The 22085-nt window shown below is 58.4% G+C and overlaps 2 protein-coding genes across 10 annotated transcripts, besides 10 other annotated features; one reads left to right on the forward strand and one right to left on the reverse strand.

Moving 5' to 3' along the window:
* Positions 5248 to 6022: an enhancer, noted in NCBI's record as "H3K27ac-H3K4me1 hESC enhancer chr19:55849388-55850162 (GRCh37/hg19 assembly coordinates)". NCBI's record gives its function as "activates a minimal SCP1, AML or CMV promoter by ChIP-STARR-seq in primed H9 embryonic stem cells {active_cell/tissue: H9 hESC(primed)}" and the evidence as "EXISTENCE:reporter gene assay evidence [ECO:0000049][PMID:30033119]".
* Positions 6023 to 6796: an enhancer, noted in NCBI's record as "H3K27ac-H3K4me1 hESC enhancer chr19:55850163-55850936 (GRCh37/hg19 assembly coordinates)". NCBI's record gives its function as "activates a minimal SCP1, AML or CMV promoter by ChIP-STARR-seq in primed H9 embryonic stem cells {active_cell/tissue: H9 hESC(primed)}" and the evidence as "EXISTENCE:reporter gene assay evidence [ECO:0000049][PMID:30033119]".
* Positions 7104 to 15349, forward strand: KMT5C (lysine methyltransferase 5C). Of its 5 annotated transcripts, none has more exons than NM_001438948.1 (9): positions 7104 to 7942; positions 9022 to 9274; positions 9443 to 9608; positions 9970 to 10079; positions 10908 to 11071; positions 11206 to 11225; positions 13441 to 13577; positions 13728 to 13915; positions 14184 to 15349. In NM_001438948.1, exons 2-9 carry the CDS (start codon positions 9165 to 9167, stop codon positions 14675 to 14677), a joined length of 1389 nt encoding a protein of 462 aa, NP_001425877.1. In that variant the 5' UTR covers positions 7104 to 7942; positions 9022 to 9164; the 3' UTR covers positions 14678 to 15349. The 5 variants fall into 5 exon arrangements, with proteins under 5 accessions (NP_001425877.1, NP_116090.2, NP_001425878.1 ...); NM_032701.4 differs by having other exon boundaries at positions 7104 to 7185; NM_001438949.1 differs by lacking the exon at positions 9443 to 9608 and having other exon boundaries at positions 7104 to 7185.
* Positions 7106 to 7175: an enhancer, noted in NCBI's record as "active region_15090". NCBI's record gives its function as "activates an Ori minimal core promoter by ATAC-STARR-seq in GM12878 lymphoblastoid cells {active_cell/tissue: GM12878}" and the evidence as "EXISTENCE:reporter gene assay evidence [ECO:0000049][PMID:35858748]".
* Positions 7196 to 7255: a silencer, noted in NCBI's record as "silent region_11022". NCBI's record gives its function as "represses an Ori minimal core promoter by ATAC-STARR-seq in GM12878 lymphoblastoid cells {active_cell/tissue: GM12878}" and the evidence as "EXISTENCE:reporter gene assay evidence [ECO:0000049][PMID:35858748]".
* Positions 8501 to 8680: a silencer, noted in NCBI's record as "silent region_11023". NCBI's record gives its function as "represses an Ori minimal core promoter by ATAC-STARR-seq in GM12878 lymphoblastoid cells {active_cell/tissue: GM12878}" and the evidence as "EXISTENCE:reporter gene assay evidence [ECO:0000049][PMID:35858748]".
* Positions 11064 to 11868: an enhancer, noted in NCBI's record as "H3K4me1 hESC enhancer chr19:55855204-55856008 (GRCh37/hg19 assembly coordinates)". NCBI's record gives its function as "activates a minimal SCP1, AML or CMV promoter by ChIP-STARR-seq in primed H9 embryonic stem cells {active_cell/tissue: H9 hESC(primed)}" and the evidence as "EXISTENCE:reporter gene assay evidence [ECO:0000049][PMID:30033119]".
* Positions 11869 to 12674: an enhancer, noted in NCBI's record as "H3K4me1 hESC enhancer chr19:55856009-55856814 (GRCh37/hg19 assembly coordinates)". NCBI's record gives its function as "activates a minimal SCP1, AML or CMV promoter by ChIP-STARR-seq in naive and primed H9 embryonic stem cells {active_cell/tissue: H9 hESC(naive and primed)}" and the evidence as "EXISTENCE:reporter gene assay evidence [ECO:0000049][PMID:30033119]".
* Positions 13865 to 14559: an enhancer, noted in NCBI's record as "H3K27ac-H3K4me1 hESC enhancer chr19:55858005-55858699 (GRCh37/hg19 assembly coordinates)". NCBI's record gives its function as "activates a minimal SCP1, AML or CMV promoter by ChIP-STARR-seq in naive H9 embryonic stem cells {active_cell/tissue: H9 hESC(naive)}" and the evidence as "EXISTENCE:reporter gene assay evidence [ECO:0000049][PMID:30033119]".
* A 1582-nt stretch (positions 15350 to 16931) lies between the features above and the next one.
* On the reverse strand, positions 16932 to 21947 carry COX6B2 (cytochrome c oxidase subunit 6B2). 5 transcript variants are annotated; one of them, NM_001369798.1, is made up of 8 exons: positions 21878 to 21947; positions 21638 to 21767; positions 21094 to 21194; positions 20835 to 21002; positions 20540 to 20618; positions 19761 to 19964; positions 19309 to 19554; positions 16932 to 18028 (listed from the first exon to the last, which is right to left on the reverse strand). In NM_001369798.1, exons 2-4 carry the CDS (start codon positions 21747 to 21749, stop codon positions 20949 to 20951), a joined length of 267 nt encoding a protein of 88 aa, NP_001356727.1. In that variant the 5' UTR covers positions 21750 to 21767; positions 21878 to 21947; the 3' UTR covers positions 16932 to 18028; positions 19309 to 19554; positions 19761 to 19964; positions 20540 to 20618; positions 20835 to 20948. The 5 variants fall into 5 exon arrangements, with proteins under 5 accessions (NP_001356727.1, NP_001356728.1, NP_001356729.1 ...); NM_001369799.1 differs by lacking the exons at positions 19761 to 19964; positions 20540 to 20618 and having other exon boundaries at positions 19464 to 19554; NM_001369800.1 differs by lacking the exons at positions 19309 to 19554; positions 19761 to 19964 and having other exon boundaries at positions 20540 to 20621.
* Positions 21262 to 21371: a silencer, noted in NCBI's record as "silent region_11024". NCBI's record gives its function as "represses an Ori minimal core promoter by ATAC-STARR-seq in GM12878 lymphoblastoid cells {active_cell/tissue: GM12878}" and the evidence as "EXISTENCE:reporter gene assay evidence [ECO:0000049][PMID:35858748]".
* Positions 21482 to 21531: a silencer, noted in NCBI's record as "silent region_11025". NCBI's record gives its function as "represses an Ori minimal core promoter by ATAC-STARR-seq in GM12878 lymphoblastoid cells {active_cell/tissue: GM12878}" and the evidence as "EXISTENCE:reporter gene assay evidence [ECO:0000049][PMID:35858748]".
* Positions 21948 to 22085: the final 138 nt, after the last annotated feature.

Below are 22085 nucleotides of genomic sequence, written 5' to 3' on the forward strand. Positions count from 1 at the left end.
AACAAAAATTATTGAATATTTGACCAGGTTCCCGCTGAGGCTGAGCCTTGGAATCTGTATTTTAATCACATTCCCAAGGTGACTTTGACTCCCCACACCCCACCTTTTTTTCTTTCTGTGTGTATAGTTCAACACAAAAAACATCAAATTCACCATTTTACAGCCAGATGCCGTGGCTCACATCTGTAATCCCAGTGTGTGGGAGGCTGAAACTGGAGGATTGCTTGAAGCCAGGAGTTCTGGACCAGCCTGGGCAGAATAGGGAAATCCCATCTCCACAAAAAATTTAAAAATTAGCCGGGTGTGGTGGCATGTGCCGGCAATCCCAGCTACTTGGGAGGCTGAGGTGGGAGAATTGCTTGAGCCCAGGAGAGCAAGGCTGCAGTGAGCTATGATTGTGTCACTCCAGCCCGGGTGACAGAGTGAAACGCTGTCTCAAAAATTAATGAATTGGTTAAAATTTTCATTTTAATTAAAGTGCAAAACTCGGTGGTAGGTGTGTGAGCAATGTCGTGAGGCCATGCCGTGAGTTATGATCACACCACTGCACTTCCACCTAGGTGACAGAGAGACACTTATATGTGTCTCTAAATATATATATACCATTTTAACTATTTTATTTTATTTACCATTTTATTATTTTTTGAGGCGGAGTCTCTTTCTGTCACCCAGGCTGGAGTGCAATGGTGCGATCTCGGCTCACTGCAACCTCCGCCTCTTGGGTTCAAGTGATTCTCTTGCCTCAGCCTCCCGAGTAGCTGAGATTACAGGTGCCTGCCACCGTGCCTGCCTAATTTTTTGTATTTTTAGTAGAGACAGGGTTTTGTCACGTTGGCCAGGCTGGTCTCAAACTCTTGACCCCAGGTGATCCAATCACCTCAGCCTCCCAAAGTGCTGGGATTACCGGCATGAGCCACCATGCCCGGCCCCATTTTAACTGTTTTAAAGTGTACAGTTCAGTGGTATTAGGTACAACCATCACCACTATCTACTTCCAGAACTTCTTCATCATCCCAAAAGGAAAGCCCATACCTGTTAGCAGTCACTTGCCCCAGCCTCTGCAACCGCGAATTTGCTTTGTGTCTCTATGGATTTACCTACTCTGGATATTTCATAGAAATGGCGTCGTACCGAATGTGGCCTTTCATCTCCGGCTCCCTTCACCTAGCATGATGTTTTCACGGGCCATCGGTGTCCCAGCATGAGTCATTCCTTCTTATTTTATTATGCCACCTGAAGTCTGAGACCCACCCCGCCAGCTTTCAGCAGCTGGTTTCTTTCTGGGCAGTGCGGCCGGGAGCTTGAGAGTGCAAAGTGCACTAGACTCTGGAGTCCCATGACTTGGATGTTAACTCTGGGCCGGTTACATCATCTCTGTAAGCCTCACTTTGCTTATCCGTAAAATGAGCATTATAACAGCCCCTCCCTCACAGGGCTATTTGCAAAGTGGCTGCTGTGTGGTAAGAGTTCAGTAACAGCTTTCATGTTATTCCATGTTGTGAGAGATTGAGAGATGCTAGAATTCGTCCAACTATGTCCTATTGTTGGACATTCTTTTCTGTTTTTTGTTTTTTTTTCCGACATTTTGCTCTGTCGCCCAGGCTGGAGTGCAATGGTGTGATCTCGCCTCACTGCAAACTCCGCCTCCTGGGTTCAAATGATTCTCCTGCCTCAGCCTCCTGAGTAGGTGGGATTACAGGCGCCCACGACCACGCCCGGCTAATTTTTGTATTTTTAGTAGAGACAGCATTTCGTCATGTTGGCCAGGCTGGTCTTGAACTCCTGACCTCAGGTGATCTGCCCGCCTCGGCCTCCCAAAGCGTTGGGATTACAGGCGTGAGCCACCGCGCCCGACCTACTTTTCTGTTTTTTCAACAATGCTGAGTGATATGATTTGGCTCTGTGTCCCTACCCAAATCTCACCTTGAATTTTAATCCCCATAACCCCCACTTGTCAAAGGGGGGACCAGGTGGAGGAAATTGAATCATGGTGAACCCCCATGCTGTTCTCATGATAATGAGTGAGTTCTCAGGAGGTCTGAAGGTTTTATTTTATTTATTTATTTATTTATTTAAAGATGGAGTCTTGCTTGTTGTCGCCCAGGCTGGAGTGCAATGGCGCCATCTTGGCTCACCAGGACAACAGAATGAGACTCTGTCTCAAGAAAAAAAAAAAGAATAAAACCCTGGAAGTGGAATTGGTGGGTCAAAATTTTATTTGTATTATGAAATATTTCTGACTTACAGAAAAGAACAGACAGTAGCCAGGCGCGGTGGCTCATGCCTGTAATCCCAGCACTTTGGGAGGCCGAGGCGGGTAGATCATGAGGTCAGGAGTTCAAGACCAGCCTGGCCAAGATGGTGAAACCCCATCTCTACTAAAAATACAAAAAAATGAGCCAGGCATGGTGGTGGGCACCTATAATCCCTGCTACTTGGGAGGCTGAGGCAGAGAATTGGTTGAACCCGGGAGGCGGAGGTTGCAGTGAGCCGAGATCACGCCACTGCACTCTAGTCTGGGCGACAGAGTGAGACTCCGTCTCTAAGAAAACAAAAACAAACAAACAAACAAACAAAAACAGAAAAGAACAGACAGTAGGCTGGTTGCAGTGGCTCACACCTGTAATCCCAGCACTTTGGGAGGCCGAGGCAGGCGGATCACCACGTCAGGAGATCGAGACCATCCTGGCCAACGTGGTAAAACCCCGTCTCTACTGAAAAAAAAAAAAATACAAAAAAATTAGCCGGGCGTGGTGGCAGGAGCCTGTAATCCCAGCTACTCGGGAGGGTGAGGCAGGAGAATGGCGTGAACCCGGGAGACAGAGCTTGCAGTGAGCGGAGATTGTGCCACTGCACTCCAGCCCGGGCGACAGAGCGAGGCTCCATCTCAAAAAGAAAAAAAAAAGAAAAAAAAGGAACAGACAGTAAATATAATGAACTGATGAACTCATGTCAGTGGGATTGAAAATCAAATAACTAAAAAAGAAAGAAAAGAGGCCGGGCACGATGGCTCACGCCTGTAATCCCAGCACTTTGGGAGGCCAAGGTGGGTGGATCACAAGGTCAGGAGATCGAGACCATCCTGGCTAACAGAGTGAAACCCCATTTCTACTAAAAATACAAAAAATTAGCTGGGCGTGGTGGTGGGCACCTGTAGTCCCAGCTACTCGGGAGGCTGAGGCAGGAGAATGCCGTGAACCCGGGAGGCAGAGCTTGCAGTGAGCTGAGATCGCACCACTGCACTCCAGCCTGGGCAACAGAGCGAGATTTTGTCTCAAGATAAAAAAAAGAAAGAAAAGAAAAAGAAAGAAGGAAGGAAGGAAAGAAAGGGAAAGAAAGAAAGAAAAGAAAGAAAGAAATGCAGTTTTGTTACAGGTGTAGTTAAAAAAAATAGAGATAAAAAGAAAAATATAATGAACTCATGGATTCCACCACAGGGCTTAAACAAAATTTCCAAATACCAATGTCCCGTGTAGCTTTCCCGATTGCATTCTTCCCTCCCCACCCTCAGGGGCGGCCGCTTCCCTCCCCATGCTGTGTTAGTCATGCCCTTCACGTGTGTATCCTTTTGCCACATGTATCCACATGCAACCATTGTTTTGTTTTGCTTTGTTTTTTGAGATGGAATTTCGCTCTTGTCATCCAGGCTGGAGTGTAGTGGTGCAATCTCGGCTCACTGCAACCTCTGCCTCCTGGGTTCAAGCAATTCTCCTGCCTCAGCCTCCTAAGTAGCTGGGATTACAGGTGCCTGCCACCATGTGCGGGTAAATTTTTGTATTTTTAGTAGAGACGGGGTTTCATCATGTTGGCCAGGCTGGTCTCGAACTTCCGACCTCAGGTGATCCACCGGCCTCGGCCTCCCAAAGTGCTGGGATTACAGGCGTGAGCGGCTGTGCCCAGCCATTGTATGTGTTTCAAAACTTCGTGTCAATGGCATTGTAGACTTCTGCAACTACGGGTTGTCCCGGGTGATATATGGGACACTGGTGCATCTACTTTCACTGACATATGGTGTTCCCCTGTATCAATATACCAGGATCCATGTTTCCATTCTTCTGGTGATGGAAACCGTTTCCAGTTCCTCACCGTTACAAACACGATAGCGAGCATTCTTGCATTTATCTCTTTATTCCAAGTCGGAGAGTTTCTCTAGAGTGTACACCCACCCACTAGTAGAAGGACTGTACTTCATACAGACTGATACAACTTTTCCAGTTAGCTGAGTTTCCATGAAGTCCTTTATGCTTGCCATTTCCCCCTCCCTGGGTAAGGCTGCTTTTCTCTTCTGGAGCTGGTCACCTGTCCCTCCCCACTGATGACCAGGAGTTACAGTTGGCATCACCTTGCTCTGGTATGGCCACCTCTGTCCACCTCTGTCTCCTCTAGCTGCTCCATGGCAAGTCCCCAGCCCCAGTTCCCTTCTGCCGGCATGGTCCTGGTCAAAGTGATGGTCCCGAGAAAGGTTTGGTCGACTTTAGCTGTAGTGGTGCCTGCCTGAGTTAGGGGGTATTTCAGAGCTCATGAGAGATTAGGGAGGTAAAGCATGGGGCTAGGGGATAGTCCCTGTTGGAGAAGAAATAGCATGAACAAAGGGTGGAAAGCTGGAAGCCAAACAAGTGTATGGTCTATGTTTTATAGATGGGAACCCAAAGCCCAGAGATGGCAAGTCACTTCCTCAAAGTCACAGAGCAATGCAGAGACTGTCAGCTTCATCCTTATTGGTTGGTCATTCACACATTCATTCAGTACATATTAACAAAGTGCCTAGGCCAGCCATGGTGGCTCACACCTGTAATCCCAGCACTTTGGGAGGCTGAGGTGGGTGGATCACCTGAGGTCAGGAGTTCAAGACCAGCTTGGCCAGCATGGCGAAACCCCACCTCTACTAAAAATACAGAAACTAGCTGGGCATGGTGGTGGGCACCTGTAATCCCAGCTACTCAGGAGGCTGAGGCAGGAGAATCACTTGAATTCGGGAGGCAGAGAGCCGAGATCGCACCACTGTACTCCAGCCTGGGCGACAGAGCAAGACCCTCTCTCAAAAAAAAAAAAAAAGAAGGGAGCATCACTTGAATGAGCCCCTAGAGAGACCCTGTCTCTACAAAAATTAAAGGATTAGCCGAGCATGGTGGCATGCGTCTGTGGTCCCAGCTACTCAGGAGGCTGAGGCTGTAGGATCGCTTGAACCCAGGAGGTCGAGGCTGCAGTGAGCCATCCTTGCACCACTGCACTCCAGCCTGGGCAACAGAGGAAGACCCTGTCTCAAAACACAATACAGGCCAGGCATGGTGGCTCATGCCTGTAATCCCAGCACTTTGGGAGGCTGAGGTGGGTGGATCACCTGAGGTCAGGAGTTCGAGACCAGCCTGACCAACATGGTGAAACCCCGTATCTACTAAAAAAAAAAAAAAAAAAAAAAATTAGCCGGGCATGGTAGTGCATGCCTGTAATCCCAACTATTTGGGAGGCTGAAGCAGGAAAATCGCTTGAACCTGGGCGGCGGAGGTTGCAGTGAGCCGACATCGCACCATTCCACTCCAGCCTGGGCAACAAGAGGGAACTCTGTCTAAAAAAAAATTAGCCAGGGGTGGTAGTGCATGCCTGTAATCCCAGCTACTTGGGAGGCTGAGGCAGGAGAATCGTTTGAACCTGGGAAGCAGAGGCTGCAGTGAGCCGAGATCACTCCACTGCACTCTAGCCTGGGCGAGAGAGCGATACTCTGTCTCTGTCTCTCTCTCTCTCTCTCTCTCTCTCTCTCTCTCTCTCTCTCTCTCTCTCTCACACACACACACACACACACACACACACACACCAAAACACCAAAAACAGCACACCAAAACAGCACCTACTCTGTGGCATGCATTGTTTTAAGTGCCCACGATCTATAGCTGTACAGTGGAGCGCATGTCTGACAGTGATCCTATATGTGTAGACACACAAGCGCCTACATTGTGTTACCGGACAGTAACATGCTGCACAGCTGTGTGGCCCAGGAGCCGCCGGCCACCTTACAGCCCAGGTGCCAGCAGCCCTGCCACGTAGGTGTGAGTGATGTTGCTCTAGGATGCTGGCAGGATGACGACATCGCCTGAGCACGCACTGCCCAGATGGTATCAGTGTCGTTAAGGGAAGAATGGCTGTGGCGAAACAAACAAACAAGCAAACAAAGACCGCCTGTTCTGAGTGTGGAGCTTATTATTCTCGGCGTAATTATGATGAATTGTTAGTTACGTTTGCCTCTAGGATTGAGGTAGGGGGGGTGATCCCAATTAGGGGGTGCCCCAGGGGAGCGCCCCAGGAGTCAGGGCTTGTCTCAAAAGTCCCCACTCCTCCCTCAGCCTCCCCTCCCTCCATCCGACCCCGTTCATATCGCGGGAAGGTCCCACAGAGTGCGTGTGGATACTCCCAAAACGCAACGGTGTAAACGGGGAGGGAGGGAGAGAGACTGAGGAGCCCTTTGTAGCCAGGCAGAGCTGTCAATAAAGTTTCGTCGCCTTGGTAACCGCAGGCCTCGCGGGGCGGGAGGGGAGAGGGATGGCGGTGCGCGCGCATTCACCGCCTCCCTCCCGCCGGGTCTGGCTTTCTCCCTCCTGTGGCCGAAGCTTTCCTCGGAGAAATAGAAGAGGGAGGCCGCGACTCTATGGTGATGGACGGAGGCCTTACCCAATGGAAAGAGGAGCTGTCCCAAGGCCAGGCAATCATATACGACTACTGGAGCTGGCAGAGCCCGCCCTCTTTCCACTTGGACCTGAATAACCCGACCCAAACCGAGTTTCGCCCGGAGAGACTGCGCTTTCGGCCAATGAGTGCGTCGATTTCGAGCCCCAGTGTGAGCGAAGGCGGGACAAGTCTCCATGGCAGCGACTAAAGGACAGCGATGTGAACCACTGACAACAGTTCGCGGCGTTTGACGGCGGCGGGGGCGTGGCGGGGTTTTATCTGTGTATTGACGAGAGCCGGGCGCGGAGGGAAAGAGTGGGGCTTGGCCAATGGGAGCGCCGTGAGCTTCGTAGCAACGGAGGAGTGGCGGTGGCTGTGGCCAATAGAAAGCCTCAGTGGCCTTGGCGGGGCTGGCCCGGAGAGCAGATGGGAGGTGCGGCGACAGTGTTTGACGAGAGCCGAAGGAGGCTGTGGGAGGTGTTGGCGGCGGCGGCGCGGGCGCCTGAGGAGGAGGAGGAGAAGCGGGTGAGGGGCGGCGCGGGGCCCGATCTCTGAGCCCCTTCACGGCCCCAGCCCCGCGCCGCCTTGGCTCCCCAGTCGCCCCCTGCCCCGACTGCCCCCCACCCCGCCCGGCCCCTCCTCGTGTCCAGGCGCCCACGTCTCCCGGCCCCTCGCCGGGCCTCGGGCTCCGCGGCACTGCAGCCTCCTTCCTGTGCTTCCTCACCCGGGCCCTGACCCCCTTCTTACGTCCACGGCCCTCCCTGCATCCTCAGGGCCTCTCCCTGACCTCTTGTCACTCTCCAGGCCTCTCCCTGCACCCCCCAGGGCCTTTCCCTGACCTCACCCTCCAGGCCTCTCCCTGCACCCCCAGGTCTCTCCCTGCACCCTCAGGGCCTCTCCCTGACCCTTCTCTCACCCCCGGGACCTCCCTGCACTCCCAGGGCCAATCCCCGACCTCCTCTCACCCTCCAGGCCTCCTTCTGGACCCTCTAGGTCTTTCTGTGCCCTAGAACCTCTCCCTGACCCCTCTGTCCCTCTCCTGGCACTCCCTGGACCCTGAGGTCGGCCTCTGACCCTCCAGGTCCCTTGCCCTGGGCTCTCACCGCCTACCCAGGCGCCTCCCTGGGTCCCCAGGCCCTTCCCTAGGGTCTCCCTTTCCTGGATCCCCCAGGACCCCACCAAGCCCGTTTGGATCCCTGGGCCCCTGTCCGCCCTCTCAGGCCCTTCACTCACTGGACACCCAGGATCTTCTCCGCCATCCCTGGACCGCCCCCCGACCCAGGTCTCCCGTCTGGCTCCTCCCTGAGTCCCTAGGCCATTCCCCGCTCTCTGTCCTCCCTGGCACCCCCATCCCTTCCTCACACCCCTCTGAGCGCCCCCAGGCCCGGCTGCAGCCTTCTCCCTCCCACAGCCCCCTGCCGTGCCCACCGCTGTGCGTTTCTCTCCTTGCCCCCAGCCCCCTCTCCAGCTTCCCCGCTGTCCCTGGCGTCCTCCTGCAGCGCCCCCTCTTTCTCTCCCGCAGCCTCGCAGTCTGTCCCCGACCCCTCCACAGCCGTCTCTGCAGCTCCCGCTCCTTGCCCTGCCCCATCTCCTCCTCTCCTGGGCGCGGATGAGCCTCGAGCGCCGTGGTGCGGGGACGAGGCTGGCCCTCCGTCCGGGTTAGGGGTTTGGGTGGTTTTCTTCATCTCTCCGTTCTCTCCTGGCTCCGCTTTAAAAAAATGTTTTTGTAAATATTGACCTGTGCTGCCTCCCCATAGTCTTCCTTTGCTCCCCTCCCCACCCCCGCTTTTGTCCTCTGAGCCCCCCTCCCCTGGAATCCTTGGAGAGGGAGCAGGTGCTGGGATCCCTCCCCTGCCCTCCCTCCCGTCACCCGCCTCCAGGCTGCCTGGGGCTTCACCCGGAGCCTCCTGACCACTCCCGAAGGCTGCCGGGGAGGCAGGGGGCGGAGACCGAGGCTGGGTCGAGGTGGGGGTGGAGGGCGGGACCTCGGGCTGGCGGGAAGCTTTGACTTTTCCTCCTTGAGGGCTAGAGGTGAAGCGGCTCCCCACGGTGCTAAGCCTTTAGGGTGATCCCGGCTGCCAATCAGTCAGCCTTCTCTGGGCCCAAAGAGATGTGTGTGTGTAGGGGGTCTCTGTACATATGGGCAGGGGCATCTGCGTGTGTCAGTCTGAGTGTGCATGGGTGTGCATGTGGGGGTTGTGTGTTTAGGGGGGATCTGTGTCTGCGCTGCGGAGCAAGAGCAAGAGCTAAGGCGATGGCTGACATGGCTCTGGGCTTTCCCTACTCTCAGAAGTACTTGTTGCATTCCATCTTCGCCAGCGGCCTGGTGAAGTCAGCACTGCTTTTCTCCCCATTTTGCAGATGAGATCGTGGGGCTCACCAGCGTCCCCCATGGCTTCTGAGTAGCGTGGGAGTGGAGTCAGCACCAAGCCAGGCTCCCCGCGCCTGCCTTGCCCTCACCTGCTCCTGCTCTCTGCCAGAGGCAGCATGGTCCGCAGGGCACCATGGGGCCCGACAGAGTGACAGCACGAGAACTGTGCGAGAACGACGACCTGGCCACCAGCCTCGTCCTGGACCCCTACCTCGGTTTCCGCACCCATAAGATGAACGTCAGGTGAGGTGGCCTGGGGGCGAGGGTGGGCCCGAGGGGTCAGGACCCCTCCCCTTGCACCGCTGCCGCCCCTCGGCCCTCTCCTTAGCCTGGTCCTCCCCTCAGCTCCAAGTGGGGGTTGGGGCCGGGGCCCGGGAAGGCCCTGGGACCCAGGCATGCCCTCTCCCCCAGCCCTGTGCCCCCCCTGCGGCGACAGCAGCACCTGCGCTCAGCGCTGGAAACTTTCCTGAGGCAGCGGGACCTGGAGGCTGCGTACCGGGCCCTGACGCTGGGAGGCTGGACGGCCCGCTACTTCCAGAGCCGGGGCCCGCGGCAGGAGGCTGCCCTCAAGACCCACGTGAGGGCGCCCTCCCCTCCCCCGCCCTCACCGCGTGTCCTCCCCGCTCACCGGGCCTGGTCCCGCCTGGCAGACGCTCTAGAGTCCCTCAGCGCAGCCCCTGGGGCCCCCTGACTTCCTAGCCCTTGGGACCATCTGAGGCAAGGCTCAGAGAATCCTAGGAGAGGAGAGTTGGGGGGGCCCTCTGAGATGTAGTCCAACCTCTTCATTTGACGGATGAGGAAACTGAGGCCCCGAGAGGGAACATGAGGCCCCCAAGACCACACAGTGAGTCAGTGGCATGGCAGGCCTAGAGTCCTGGAGAGAGAGGGCCAAAGATGCCCCTGCCCCGCCTCCTCACCCCCACCCTCACCCTCACCAGGTCTATCGCTACCTCCGTGCCTTCCTGCCGGAAAGTGGCTTTACCATCCTGCCCTGCACGCGCTACTCCATGGAGACCAACGGGGCCAAGATCGTGTCCACTCGTGCTTGGTAAGAGGGCAGGACTCCCTGCAGGTATCCTTGGAGGAGACAGAGCTCAGAGGGGACAAGAGAGACCCTCTGTTCATGGACTGGCCAACCGGGGAAAAGCGAGGGGCCTGGTCCTCCGGGCATCCTAGGAAGGTGGTGGGGCTAATCCCGGAAGACCTTTGTGGCTACCGTGGTGCCGCTGGAGCAGGAGACCCCGGATGTGACCCCAGGGTTCCTGGGGCTTCCAGGAAAGAACTAGGCTTCTGGTCAGGGCCGTGCTGTCCTTACCTCCTTGTGACCTGAGCCCCCACCACATGTTAAACACCCCTGAGTGCAATGAGGAGCCCCTGCCCCTGCCCCTGCGGGGTTCACAGTCTGGTGAGGAGGTGGGGGGCAGACAAGTCAACATGCAGTCACTGGTCCCAGCTGGTACATGCTGCAGGGGAGCTGTGAGGAATGAGCAAGTGCTCCCAGGGCGAGGCTCACACTGACAGGGGAAGCACCCGCCTGAGGGTCTGGTGGGGCGAGTAGGGGGTAGTCCAGGCAGGAGGGATTTGGGGGCAGGAGGTGCTATGAGAGCGAGGGGAGAGAATGGGGGCTGTATCTGCTGTGTGCGTGCTGCCCTGAAGGCTTTCAGTAGAAGGGTCCTGTGGGGCTGTGGGCTGGAGCAGGGAAGCCCACCCAGGCAGGAGGGGAAGAGGGAGATCTGGAAGATGGATCGCCAATAGCCAGCACCAGCGCCCAGGAGTCCCTCCTTCCTGGGTGCCTCTGTGCCGGAGGCCCGAGTCCCCTGAACACCTGCAGGAGGCCAGGCATCGCCCACAGCCCTGCCCCCTGGCCTCTTGGCAGGAAAAAGAATGAGAAGCTGGAGCTGCTGGTGGGCTGCATTGCAGAGCTGCGGGAGGCAGATGAGGGGCTGCTGAGGGCCGGTGAGAATGACTTCAGCATCATGTACTCAACCCGCAAGCGGAGTGCTCAGCTGTGGCTGGGCCCAGCCGCCTTCATCAACCATGGTGAGGGTCAGGCAGGTGGATGGGCAGGACGGGATAGAGCCAGGCAGGGCTGGAGGGGTGTAGTGGGAGGGTTCTGCGACTGAGCTGCCGAGCTCATCTACCTCTCTTCTCTCTCCTGCCCCAACTGGCTCCAGACTGCAAACCCAACTGCAAGGTAAGGCCTTGGGACTCGGGAGGAGAGGGCACGCAGGAAGAAAGGGTGCCTGTGGCCTGGGGAAAGGGTTTTTGGTCAGTAAAGAGCCAAACACCGGCCGGGCGCGGTGGCTCATGCCTGTAATCCCAGCACTTTGGGAGGCCGAGGTGGGCAGATCACGAGGTCAGGAGATGGAGACCACGGTGAAACCCCATCTCTACTAAAAACACAAAAAATTAGTCGGGCGTGGTGGCGGGCGCCTGTAGTCTCAGCTACTTGGGAGGCTGAGGCAGGAGAATGGTGTGAACCCGGGAGGCGGAGCTTGCGGTGAGCCGAGATCGCGCCACTGCACTCCAGCCTGGGCCACAGAGCGAGACTCTGTCTCAAAAAAAAAAAAAAAAAAGAGCCAAATGCTGCCCCATGTCTCCATGGCTTCCCACGGGTCCTGGAAGGGGCAGAGTGGGTATTTGCTCACAAGGCTACCAGAAAGGAGGAAGGGGTTCCAGTTTGGCCAGCGTTGCCCGGCTGTTTGTGCAGTTGCACTGGAACCCTGGTTGCCAGCTGCTGGCCATCTTTCTTCTCTGAAAACCGAGCTGGGAGCTGTGCCAATTTGGGCAGGGAGTGTGGCAGGGAGGCAGGGCCCTGTGGTGGGAGCCCCCGGCCTTGCAGGGAACAACGCAGGCAGCTGTGGTGGCAGGAGCAGGGAGGCCAGAGAGCCCCAGGGGCCAGGACTCAGGATGCTGTCCAGACATGCCCAGGAGAGGCCGCTGGTTGTCCTGTAGCCCGGAAGCAGAAGGAATCAGGAGGGTTGGCTCCAGGGCGGCATTGAGGGTGCACCCTCTGGAGCACAGACCTCGATGGGGCACCCCGGGAGGCATGACAAAGGGATCCAGATTTTTGGCTCCAGAGTCAGAACTGAGTTGGGGTCCTGGCGATGCCACCCCTGGCCTTTGGTTTTTCATCTCAGATGGGGTTGGTGAGGATCTCTGGAACTCTGCGGGCTGGTCAAGTGTGCCGGAGGGTTTTGGACAGCGAATGCGTGGCCCTGGTCTGACACCACACACAGACGCTGGGGGGGATGGAAACAAAAGGCGGCATTCGGAGAGGCTCTGCAGGGCCAGTGTGCTCCAGCCACCTTGAGCACACGAGAGGGCGGCCAGCTCTCCAGCGATCTAGAACCATCTGGCTTCACAGAAGCCATGCTGGGCATCGACGGAGGAGTAGAATTTCCCTAGGTGTTAAAGGAAATCAGGGGCAAAGGGGGGCGTCTAGCAGGACACGGCACACCAGAGGGCTGGGGGTGCCCAGCGACGGCTTTGATCCGGCAGCAAGGCCTTGGGGTCCGGGCCAGGGAGCCATGGAAGCTCCCCCCAGGGTGTATAATGGGAAGCTTGGTTTTTAGGTCACCCTGGAGGCCCATGTGCAGGAGGCTTGGCAGGAAGGGGAGAGGCTGTAGGCAGGGTGGCCACAAAGAGGTGATGAGGGGCTGACTCCAGTAGGGGTCTCGGGGAGGCGAGGAGGATGAGGATGCGGGAGGTGGCACACTCAGAAGGCAGTGGCCGGTTGGTCTGGGGGCCGTCAGGCAGGCAGGTGGCGAGGGCTACTCCCAGGCAAATGTCAGGCTTGAGTGGATGGGTAGATGGACAGTTGGGTGGACAGTGGTCATGCCCCCTCCTAGACGGGGAACAGGGAGGAAGGCGCAGCTGTGTGGGGCTTAGGAGGAGCCTGTGGGGCAGCTCCTGGGTGAATGATCCCAAAGGCAGGGCCAGAGCACACACAGATTGGGCTGTGGAGTGAGGCAGGCCTCAGAGAAGCGGGGGCGGCCCGCAGCAGGCAGAGCTCGGACCTCAGCTGCCAAGGCACAGTCTGGCGGGGGGCAGGCAGCTCAGGAGGGGATGGGCTTGGGTGTGGCAGAGGAGGTGGGGCTTGGCACGGGGCCACAGAGGCTGGAGGGAGTGGTCACCACTGCTGGCACTGCACGCTGCCAGAAGGTCAGGTTAGATCATCGTCCTGCAGGGAGGGGTGGAAACCAGCCAGTGGGTGGATTGTCCAGGGGCTACAGGCAAAGGACAGGCCCTCGGCAAGGCAGCCGCCTCGGAATGCCACTTTTAGGGGCTCAGCTGTTGCCCCATTCCAGGAGAGGACGCTCCGGGCCAGGGTGCCCGGCCAGGTGTGGGGAGTGGGTGAGCCCTCCCCTGTGCCCTGGGCCAGGGCGCTGAGTGGGCTTGGCCCTCAGTTTGTGCCTGCAGATGGGAACGCAGCCTGCGTGAAGGTGCTCCGGGACATTGAGCCTGGGGACGAGGTGACATGCTTCTACGGCGAGGGCTTCTTCGGCGAGAAGAATGAGCACTGTGAATGCCACACCTGTGAGAGGTGGGACCGGGCGAGAGGCGGCTGGGTTCGGGTCGTCTGGGCTTCTTGAGCCCAGAAACGCACCCTCGGGACCCATCCCTGAGTGTGTCCAACCCCAGCCTCTCATCTCCCTTCCACCCGGCCTCATCTCCCCTTCACCCGGTCTCCCAGGAAAGGTGAAGGAGCTTTCCGAACCAGGCCTAGGGAGCCCGCGTTGCCACCACGGCCCCTGGACAAGTACCAGCTGCGTGAGACCAAGCGGCGGCTGCAGCAAGGCCTGGACAGTGGCAGCCGACAGGGCCTGCTGGGCCCTCGGGCCTGCGTGCACCCATCCCCGCTGCGCCGGGACCCATTCTGCGGTGAGCACCCCTCCCTGCCATCCCAGCAGCCCCTCCCCTGTCTGCTCCTGGTCATCTGTCTCCTTTCTTCTGAGCTCTCTGCCTAGCCTGGAACCCTCCCTCCCACCCTCAGTCGCTGGCAGGCCTCGCTGTTGAGCAGTTCGGCCGCATCATTCCTCTGGGGAGCGCAGGGCAGGGCTGCCTCCTTGTCCAGAGGAGGACCGGCCCAGCTTGCACTGACTTCACCTCTCCTTTGTTCCTCCTCTCCCTGCCACCTGGGCCTTCACAGCCGCCTGCCAGCCCCTGCGCCTGCCAGCCTGCAGCGCCCGCCCAGACACCTCACCCCTCTGGCTCCAGTGGCTGCCTCAGCCCCAGCCCCGAGTGCGGCCCCGGAAGCGCCGACGCCCCCGGCCCCGGAGGGCCCCAGTGCTCTCCACCCACCACGCTGCCCGCGTCTCCCTGCACCGATGGGGAGGCTGTGGCCCCCACTGCCGCCTGCGAGGAGAGGCCCTGGTGGCCCTGGGCCAGCCCCCCCACGCCCGCTGGGCCCCTCAGCAGGACTGGCACTGGGCCCGGCGCTATGGGCTGCCTTACGTGGTGCGTGTGGACCTTCGTCGCCTGGCCCCAGCCCCACCAGCTACCCCAGCCCCTGCTGGGACCCCAGGCCCCATCCTGATCCCGAAGCAGGCCCTCGCCTTCGCCCCCTTCTCCCCACCCAAGCGCCTACGGCTGGTGGTCAGCCACGGCTCCATCGACCTGGATGTCGGCGGTGAAGAGCTGTGACAGGCCGGACGGGGAGGCCCAGCAGGGAGAGAGGGTCTCTCTCCTAGCTGCTACCCAGGACCTCCAGAAGGAGCCCTTGGACCTCTGGGAGGGAGCTGACCCTTGACTCCAGCATAGCTCTGACCCTGGAATGGGGTTGGTTTGGACACCCCCAGGGATCTGAGCCCTGACCCTTTGTGACTGCTGACCCCTGAGCCACCCCCACTCCCACAGGGAGCCCCGGCCATTTGCTGCCCTCCCCACCCCTGCCCCAGCCTCAGGACTGCAGGAGCCATCCGCCCCCCTCAGCCCCTTCCTCCCCAGGGAGCAAAGCCATAAGGGGCAGGGGCCACCCCACGGCATCTCCCCAGAAGTACAGGCCTCAGGAGGAGGTGGAACTGATGTAGGGGGTGGCACTCCCCAGAGACTGCCCTCACGAGGGGACTGGGTTCGCTCTCAGCTCTGCAGCTGTCTGCGGTGGGGGGAAGGTTGGGGGGTGTCTGGAGGCATGTTCCCCTCACCACCCCCCGTGGGTCTCAGGGAGGCCGGGTGTGACCTCATCTTTCTCATGGTGCTATCCTGGTGCTATTGGGGTGGGGAGCTCCCTCCCCTCCCCCACACCAGAAAGGGGTATGTTGGGGGCTTGGAAGCACTTGAACTTTTTATTTTATTAAAACCTTGTTATAAGCAGCACCCTTGGCGGTTTTTTGTTTTGGCTTATGTTTTGAAGGGATGTGAGGAGGGTGAGACCCTCAGCTGTGCTGATGAGAGGGGGAGGAGGCAACACAGGCCTTCAGCCCTGAGAGCTGTCGGGAGAGGGATTTGGGAGCGTGATGGACTAGGGGACTGAGGCTGGAGCCCCATCCCCACTCAGGCTGTGCTTGTAAAAATGCCTTGAGACCCATACTCTCCTAGGAGTGGGTCCTCCCATTTTCCAGGCGAGGTCAACATCGTTTAGCAAGCAGAGTGACTTGCCAAGGCCACGTGGGGACTTGAGGGCCCTTCTCCCTTCTCGCGCTTCTCAATGAGATGCCCCTCCCACATCTCACTCCAAACGGAGAGAGACTGCTGGGGGCCTGGCTGAGTGAGGGTGTGGGGGCTGCCCAGGACACCAGAGCCGAGCCTGGGGGAGGCGGCGCTGACAGGACCTTCCTCAGCTGTGGCATCTTGGGCTTTGCCGTGTGTGAGACCAGGAAGATGAATCTTGTTTCTTCAGGTCCGCTCCAGGATCTGGATTTTGCCAGGGCGTCTTAGCTCTGCCTGCTGTCTCGTTTTGCAAAAGGAAATAACAGCGGCTGACTGTGAGCAATCCCTGATCCCAGGTACCTCCAGCTTCTCCCAGATACTTTTCTCACTGGGCCACCGAGCCCGTCTCACTTGGGCAGCTACAGGTCACCTGCTGGCTCCAGGCCCCCCATGTGCGCCTCCGCATCTGCCAGCCTTGAACAAGCTTACTGTGGAGGTGGACGAGGCCAGGCTGCAGGTATCAGGAAGCTCTCCTTGGCCCTGGTGGAGAGGGAGCAACAGGGGAGCAGTGGCCACAGCGAGACCCATATGAGCACCTCAGCGGTGGCCCTGGGAGGCGGGGACAAGGGGGCAGTTGAGAACGGGTCAAACCTTGTTTACTTTAAAACTCATTAGATACGTTGGATAATATGGCCTGTTCTATTTCTTTTGCAGGGAGAAAATTCCTCTTATAATGCAAATCCTGCTAAGCCCTGTTTGTTTTCTTTCTCATGTTAAAAATAAGGACGGAGAGAGCTCCAGGCCATCAAACAGCAGAGAGATGGCTCCACTGCTAGTCCCCAAGGATTTGTCTCTGAGTGAACTGAAGCCATGCTGTTCGTTTCTTTCCTTTTTTTTTTTTTTTTTTTTTTGAGACAGGGTCTGTGGCCCAGGCTGGAGTGCAGTGGCGCCATCTCGGCTCACTGCAACCTCCACCTCCTGGATTGAAGCAATTCTCCTGCCTCAGCCTCCTGAGTAGCTGGGACCATAGGCACACGCCACCCCGTCAAACTAATTTTAAAATCTTTTTGTAGCAATTGTGTCTCACTGTGTTGCTAAGGCTAGTCTCGAACTCCTGAGCTCAAGCGATCCTCCTGCCTCTGCCTCCCAAAGTGCTAGGATGACAGGTGTGAGCCACCGCGCCCGGCCTTTTGTTTCTGAAATTCAGGTGCTGTTGCCACAGCTCTTAGACAAAGAGGGCAGCGGAGCAGGGAGTCTCAGCTGAGGACTCATGGGTGGACATTGGAATTTCCAGGAACCTTCTGAAATCTTTTAAATGTTGAGAGTATATATTTACATGCACATTTTTTATAGGGGGTTCAGAGCGTTCATCACATTCTCACAAGTTTCTGTATCCGCCTCTCCTCTGCCCCCACCCCACCCCCAACAAAAAGGGCTAAAAACTAGTGGTGAGCCGGGTGCAGTGGCTCACGCCTGTAATCCCAGCACTTTGGGAGGCTGAGGTGGGCAGATTGCCTGAGGTCAGGAGTTTGAGACCAGCCTGACCAACACGGAGAAACCCCGTCTCTACTAAAAATACAAAATAAGCTGGGCGTGGTGGTGCATGCCTGTAATCCCAGCTACTCGGGAGGCTGAGGCAGGAGAATCACTTGAACCCGGGAGGCAGAGGTTGCAGTGAGCTGAGATCGCATCATTGTACTCCAGCCTGGGTGACAGGAGCGAAACTCTGTCTCAAAAAAAATAAAAATAAAAATAAAAATGGTGAGGGCGTTAGAAACTGGCGATCAGGGTTTCCTGGCCTCCGCACTGCTGCCATGCTGAGCTGGTGTTTCTAGGCAGGGCCTGTCCCATGCATTGCAGGATGTTGAGCGGCTTCTCTGGTCTCCACCCACTCGATGCCAGGAGCATGCCTCTGCCCCAACCAAAAATGTCTCCAGACCTTGCCTGATGTCCCCATGGCGGCCAAAGTCAGCTTCTGGCTTGAGCTGGGCAGCACCGGGTGGTGGGGGAGGGGAGACACCAGGCCCATAGTGACCGACCATTCCCTGTCCTTGTCGCAGCATGGAGGGTCAGGACAGCCTTAGGGACGTGGGCGCTCTCAGTCATCTCGCCCATACAGACAGGAGCTGGCTGGGGAGGGCAGGTGTGTCTGCTTGGCGTCCCTCAGCTGCAGGGGACCCTGGCTTCCACGAAGTTGGAGGCGTTCATGCTGGCACTTCCCAGCTGGCAGGACCTGGGGGACATCCTGGTGGAGCAGGGGCCTGGGGTCATGAGTTCACCAAGGTAGCTCAAGGACAGGAAGAAACGGTGGTGGCAGAGGGTCCTCTGGTCGAAGCCTGGGCCTGAGAACCCCATCATACACGTGGAGACCAGAGCAAGGGAAACAAGGAACTCGAAGGCTGGTGGCTGTAGGTGAAGGTGGAAAGAAGTTTAGTGAAACAGGAAATACAACCAGCACTGACCTGGGTGTGTGGCACTAGAACTGCTCTCAGCCTTTGGCAGGCAGGCAGGGCCCTGGCCAAGGACTCCCCACCCTGACCCCGTGTCTCCCTGTGGGGGCACTCTGGCCCTTTATGCTGCAAGCTAGTAACCAGATGCCTCCAAGAGCTCCAGGACTGGTTTATGGGGTCATCCCTGGGCTGTCTGTCCGGTCAATCAGTCTCACTGTCCAGCACAATATGGGGCACCAGAACTGGGCCGACATGCTGATTCGAGTGACTCAGATTGTCTCTATGGCTAGAGACCCCACACACTGTGAAGAGGGGGGCCAGACACTGTTCTAACTGCTTTATATGTTTTCACATCGCCGTCCTCCCCACAACCCTAGGAAGTGAGGTGTCATTATTATGTCATTGTTACCATATTTCAGATGAAAAGGCCACAGCGCAGAGGGGCTAGGGAACTTGTCCCAGGCCACATGGTTAGTAGCTTCAGGGCCTAGATTGAACTCATTCTCAGAACCATTCGGGCTCTGCCACCTTCAGGATGGGAAAGGGGGAAACCCAGAGAGAGGAGGCGAAGCTGCGGCCCCTAGGAGCCAGGGGACAGTGAGCAGGGGAGGCAGCGCAGGTGGCCTTCAGGATCCGTGGTCTGGAGGCCGGGAGGACGGAGCAGGTTCTGAGGGAAGAACCGCAGAGGGAGGGGAAAGTGGATGATGGAAGGATTGAAGAGATGGGGCTGGAGGAGGAGAAAGAAGAGGAAAAGGAGTAGAGAAAGAAGGCGGGAGGAGGATGTTGAGCGAACAAGGATGCAGGTGTTCTGGGTGGGGGCAGGAATAAGTAGAGTGGCCTTGGTTTTCTCTGACCTGGGAGGTTGCTGAGACTGTGAGGCTGGCATTAGGGGTCTCAGGAGGCGGCTACTGGACACCAGGGAAAGCCAGCCAGAGCACCTGGAGGAGGTGTTCGGAGTTTGCACAGGTGATGGTCCACCAGGCTGGAGGCCAGGCCGGGCAGGTCTGCCCCTGCCCCTGGCTCAGGCATCAGTGGGGCAGTGGCGGCTGCAGAGGGGGTCGGGAGTGTGAGAATGTGCTGAGATGAGGTCTGGAGGCAGTGAAGATAGGATGATGGGAGGAGGAGGAAGGAGGAAGGCTGGCCAACAGGGCAAAAATGGGTTCTAGACACGGCTCTGGGGAGGTCAGGAGGCTGCTGTGGCTGCACAGGTGTGGCACCCTGTGCTTGGGATGTTACCTGGGTGACCTCACCAACTTAGCTCCATTCTGTGACTCAGAGAGGGGTCCTGCCCCCGTGGTTCTGCCAGCGCCTCTGTGCATTCGTCAAGGCTCTGGGGACGTTGCATGAACAGGAAGCCCTCCTGTAGTTGAGTCCACACCCTGTGCCCTCACCCCATTCTTGGGTTGTGGTCAGAGACGGAGCCAGGAGACCAAGATCTCAGAGGTGGCGTCATCCTGGGGGATGGCTCATCTAGGGTGTGTCCTGGGCAGCATGGAGGGCAGGTGATGGACAGGTCATCATGGGGCAGGGAGCAGGATGGAGTCAGCCCCCTGAGCTCACCCAGCCCTACCTCCTCTGATAATGGGGCCCTGAGCCATCTTGGTTTGCCTTGGGGAACCTCGGGCTCACACAGGTCAAGAAGCTTGTCTAGGGTCACCCTGCAAGTTGTCATGATTAGTTGTAGTCACCTTTGAACCCTGGGGTTGAACAGGGCCTCATAGGACCGCTTCAGTCAGAGGATGGGGCTTCCCCCTCCTAGGAGCCCCTCTGGAAGGCTGATAGCTCAGGGAGTACCCGTTGGGAAAACCAGCACCCCAGGCTGACTGGTCTCACGGCTCCCTCAGCAGGACCAGGCTGGAACCCTAGGGCTTTGTCAAGCGGCACTCCTTGGCCTGGGGAGAGGCAAGACTTCAAAGGGCGTCTGGAACCGGAATGCGGTTCCGTGTTACTGCCGGGATGGGGAAGGAGTAAAGAATGATTCCGAGGGAGCTCTGAGCGTCCTCTGGGTGCTGGCAGTCTGGCGGGGGTCACAGGAGAAATTGCGGCGATGTGTGCGGTGGGAGAGACTGACAGCGGCCTCTGCGGGGTGGGGGTGCGGGGTGAGCCTGATGCATTGGAGAACTGAGCAGGCTGCTACGCCTGGCTGTGGGTGCGGGTGCCGAAAGCGTGGACACCAGGGGATTCTGTTGGAAATAAGCTGGCTCACATGATGGGGATCTCGATGTTCTGGGAGGGGAAATGAGCCAGGTGGGAGCGGGGTCGTGATGGAGAGTGGTGGAGAGCCCAGAGAGTGGGGGAGGAAGGGATGGAGTCAGCGCTGGGTGGTACAAAGAAGACCCCTCAGGACCCGAGATGGGATGGATCAGGGGTGGGATGGGGAAGGAGCCTGGGGAGATGGTCCAGGCAGGAGGGGAGTAGGGAAAGGACTGAGGTGAGAGGTAGGTGTGGTGATTGGAGGCAGGAGCACCTTGGAGCCATCTGGGTGGGACAGTGTTGAGAACTGGGGACCCTGGGCTGGCTCGTAGCTGTCAACGCGAGGCATCTACCTGCTGGAATGGAGAGGGAGAAGGGGGACGGGAGGCATTCGGCTTCCTGTCTTAGGGCCTTGACTGCCTGCTGCTACCTGATGGAGCAGCAGTCCCCCACCTGCCCCTTATCGGAAAAAGCAGCGTTAGCCCGGACACAGGCACACGGAGGATCCCCACCACCACCACGACGCATCGCTGGCTGGGCATTAAGAAGAAACATCAGCAACAGCATACCATTATTCGTGGCTTAGACACTGGGAGGTAGGGGTGGATAACCGAGACCCGGGGCTCCGCGAGACAAAAAGATGCAGGATCACTGCATCTTCAGAGGAAGCCGCGCTGGGGCAGTCAGATTTTGCCGGCGAAAATCCCGTTCTTGATCTGCTCGTTCCAGCTCTCCACCTGGGAAGCAGAAAGGCAGGGAGCGGGACGCCGGCTCAGCCTCGGCCGAGCCCTGCACACGCCTGGCCCGGCGCCCCCTCTGCCGACTCACCCAGCTGATGGGGCACAGCGAGTGGTACACGCGGAAATAGTACTCGCAGGGCTGCGTGCTCTTCCCGCGGCGGGTCCTGGTCTTGAGGCAGCGGTGGTAGTCTGTGGCGGGCGGGGGTCACGCGGCAAGCCACGCCCATTCCAGGACAGGACCCGCCCCTCCACTGCTCGGGCCCTCCCAGTTCTTCGCTGCTTCGTCCCGCCTCCCTCTCCCCTGGAGGCCTCCGTCCCGCCCCTCCCAGCCAGGCCCCGACCCCTACCTCCCTCACACTGCTCCTCCTACCCAGACCCTGCCCCTACCTACCTCGCCCCGCACCTTCACGACTCGGCCCCGCACCTTCCAGATCAGGCCTCGCCCCTACCAACCTCGCCCCGCCCCTCCAGGCTCAGCCCCGCCTTTTCTCGACCAGGCCCCGCCCCCACCAACCCGGCCCCGCCCGGCCTCCCACCCTAACGGTCTCCGCGGGACTTAGGGTGGGAGTGCCCCTCCCTGCCGTCCCTTGTCACACCCTGCTCCTCCCATAACCTGGCTGAGCAGGTCTCACCCAGGAAGTTCTGGTAGCAGTTACGGATCTGGTTCTGGCTGGGGAAGCGCGGGTCGAAGGGCGGCGTCGACCATTTCCCCTTGGGGGGCTCCTGGGCTTCCACATCCAACATCCACGAAGGAGGCAACTCCTGCGAGACGGGACGGGACGGGGACTCCGTGGGGCCGAGGGGGCGCCCTCGCTCCGACCCGTCTCCCCATCCTGACCCCCGCCCCTGAACCCCACCCGTCGTGCCCTCACCAGCCTGACGTTGGCGGCCACTGGATCTGCTGTGGGATGGTCCCGGGGTGCCGCTCGCTTCTGAGTCCGCGGGGTGCGGTCCCACCCGGGTCAGGAGAAACGCACCCCGCGGCCGGATTGGCTAGGACGCCCGAGCCCCAGCCAATGGGAGCCGTCGTGCACCGCGGGGCTGGTAGGGGCGCCCCCACCCCACCCCTTGCTCCCCCGA

This window comes from Homo sapiens, chromosome 19 (genome assembly GCF_000001405.40).
Source record: "Homo sapiens chromosome 19, GRCh38.p14 Primary Assembly".
Classification (NCBI taxonomy): Eukaryota; Metazoa; Chordata; class Mammalia; order Primates; family Hominidae; genus Homo; species Homo sapiens.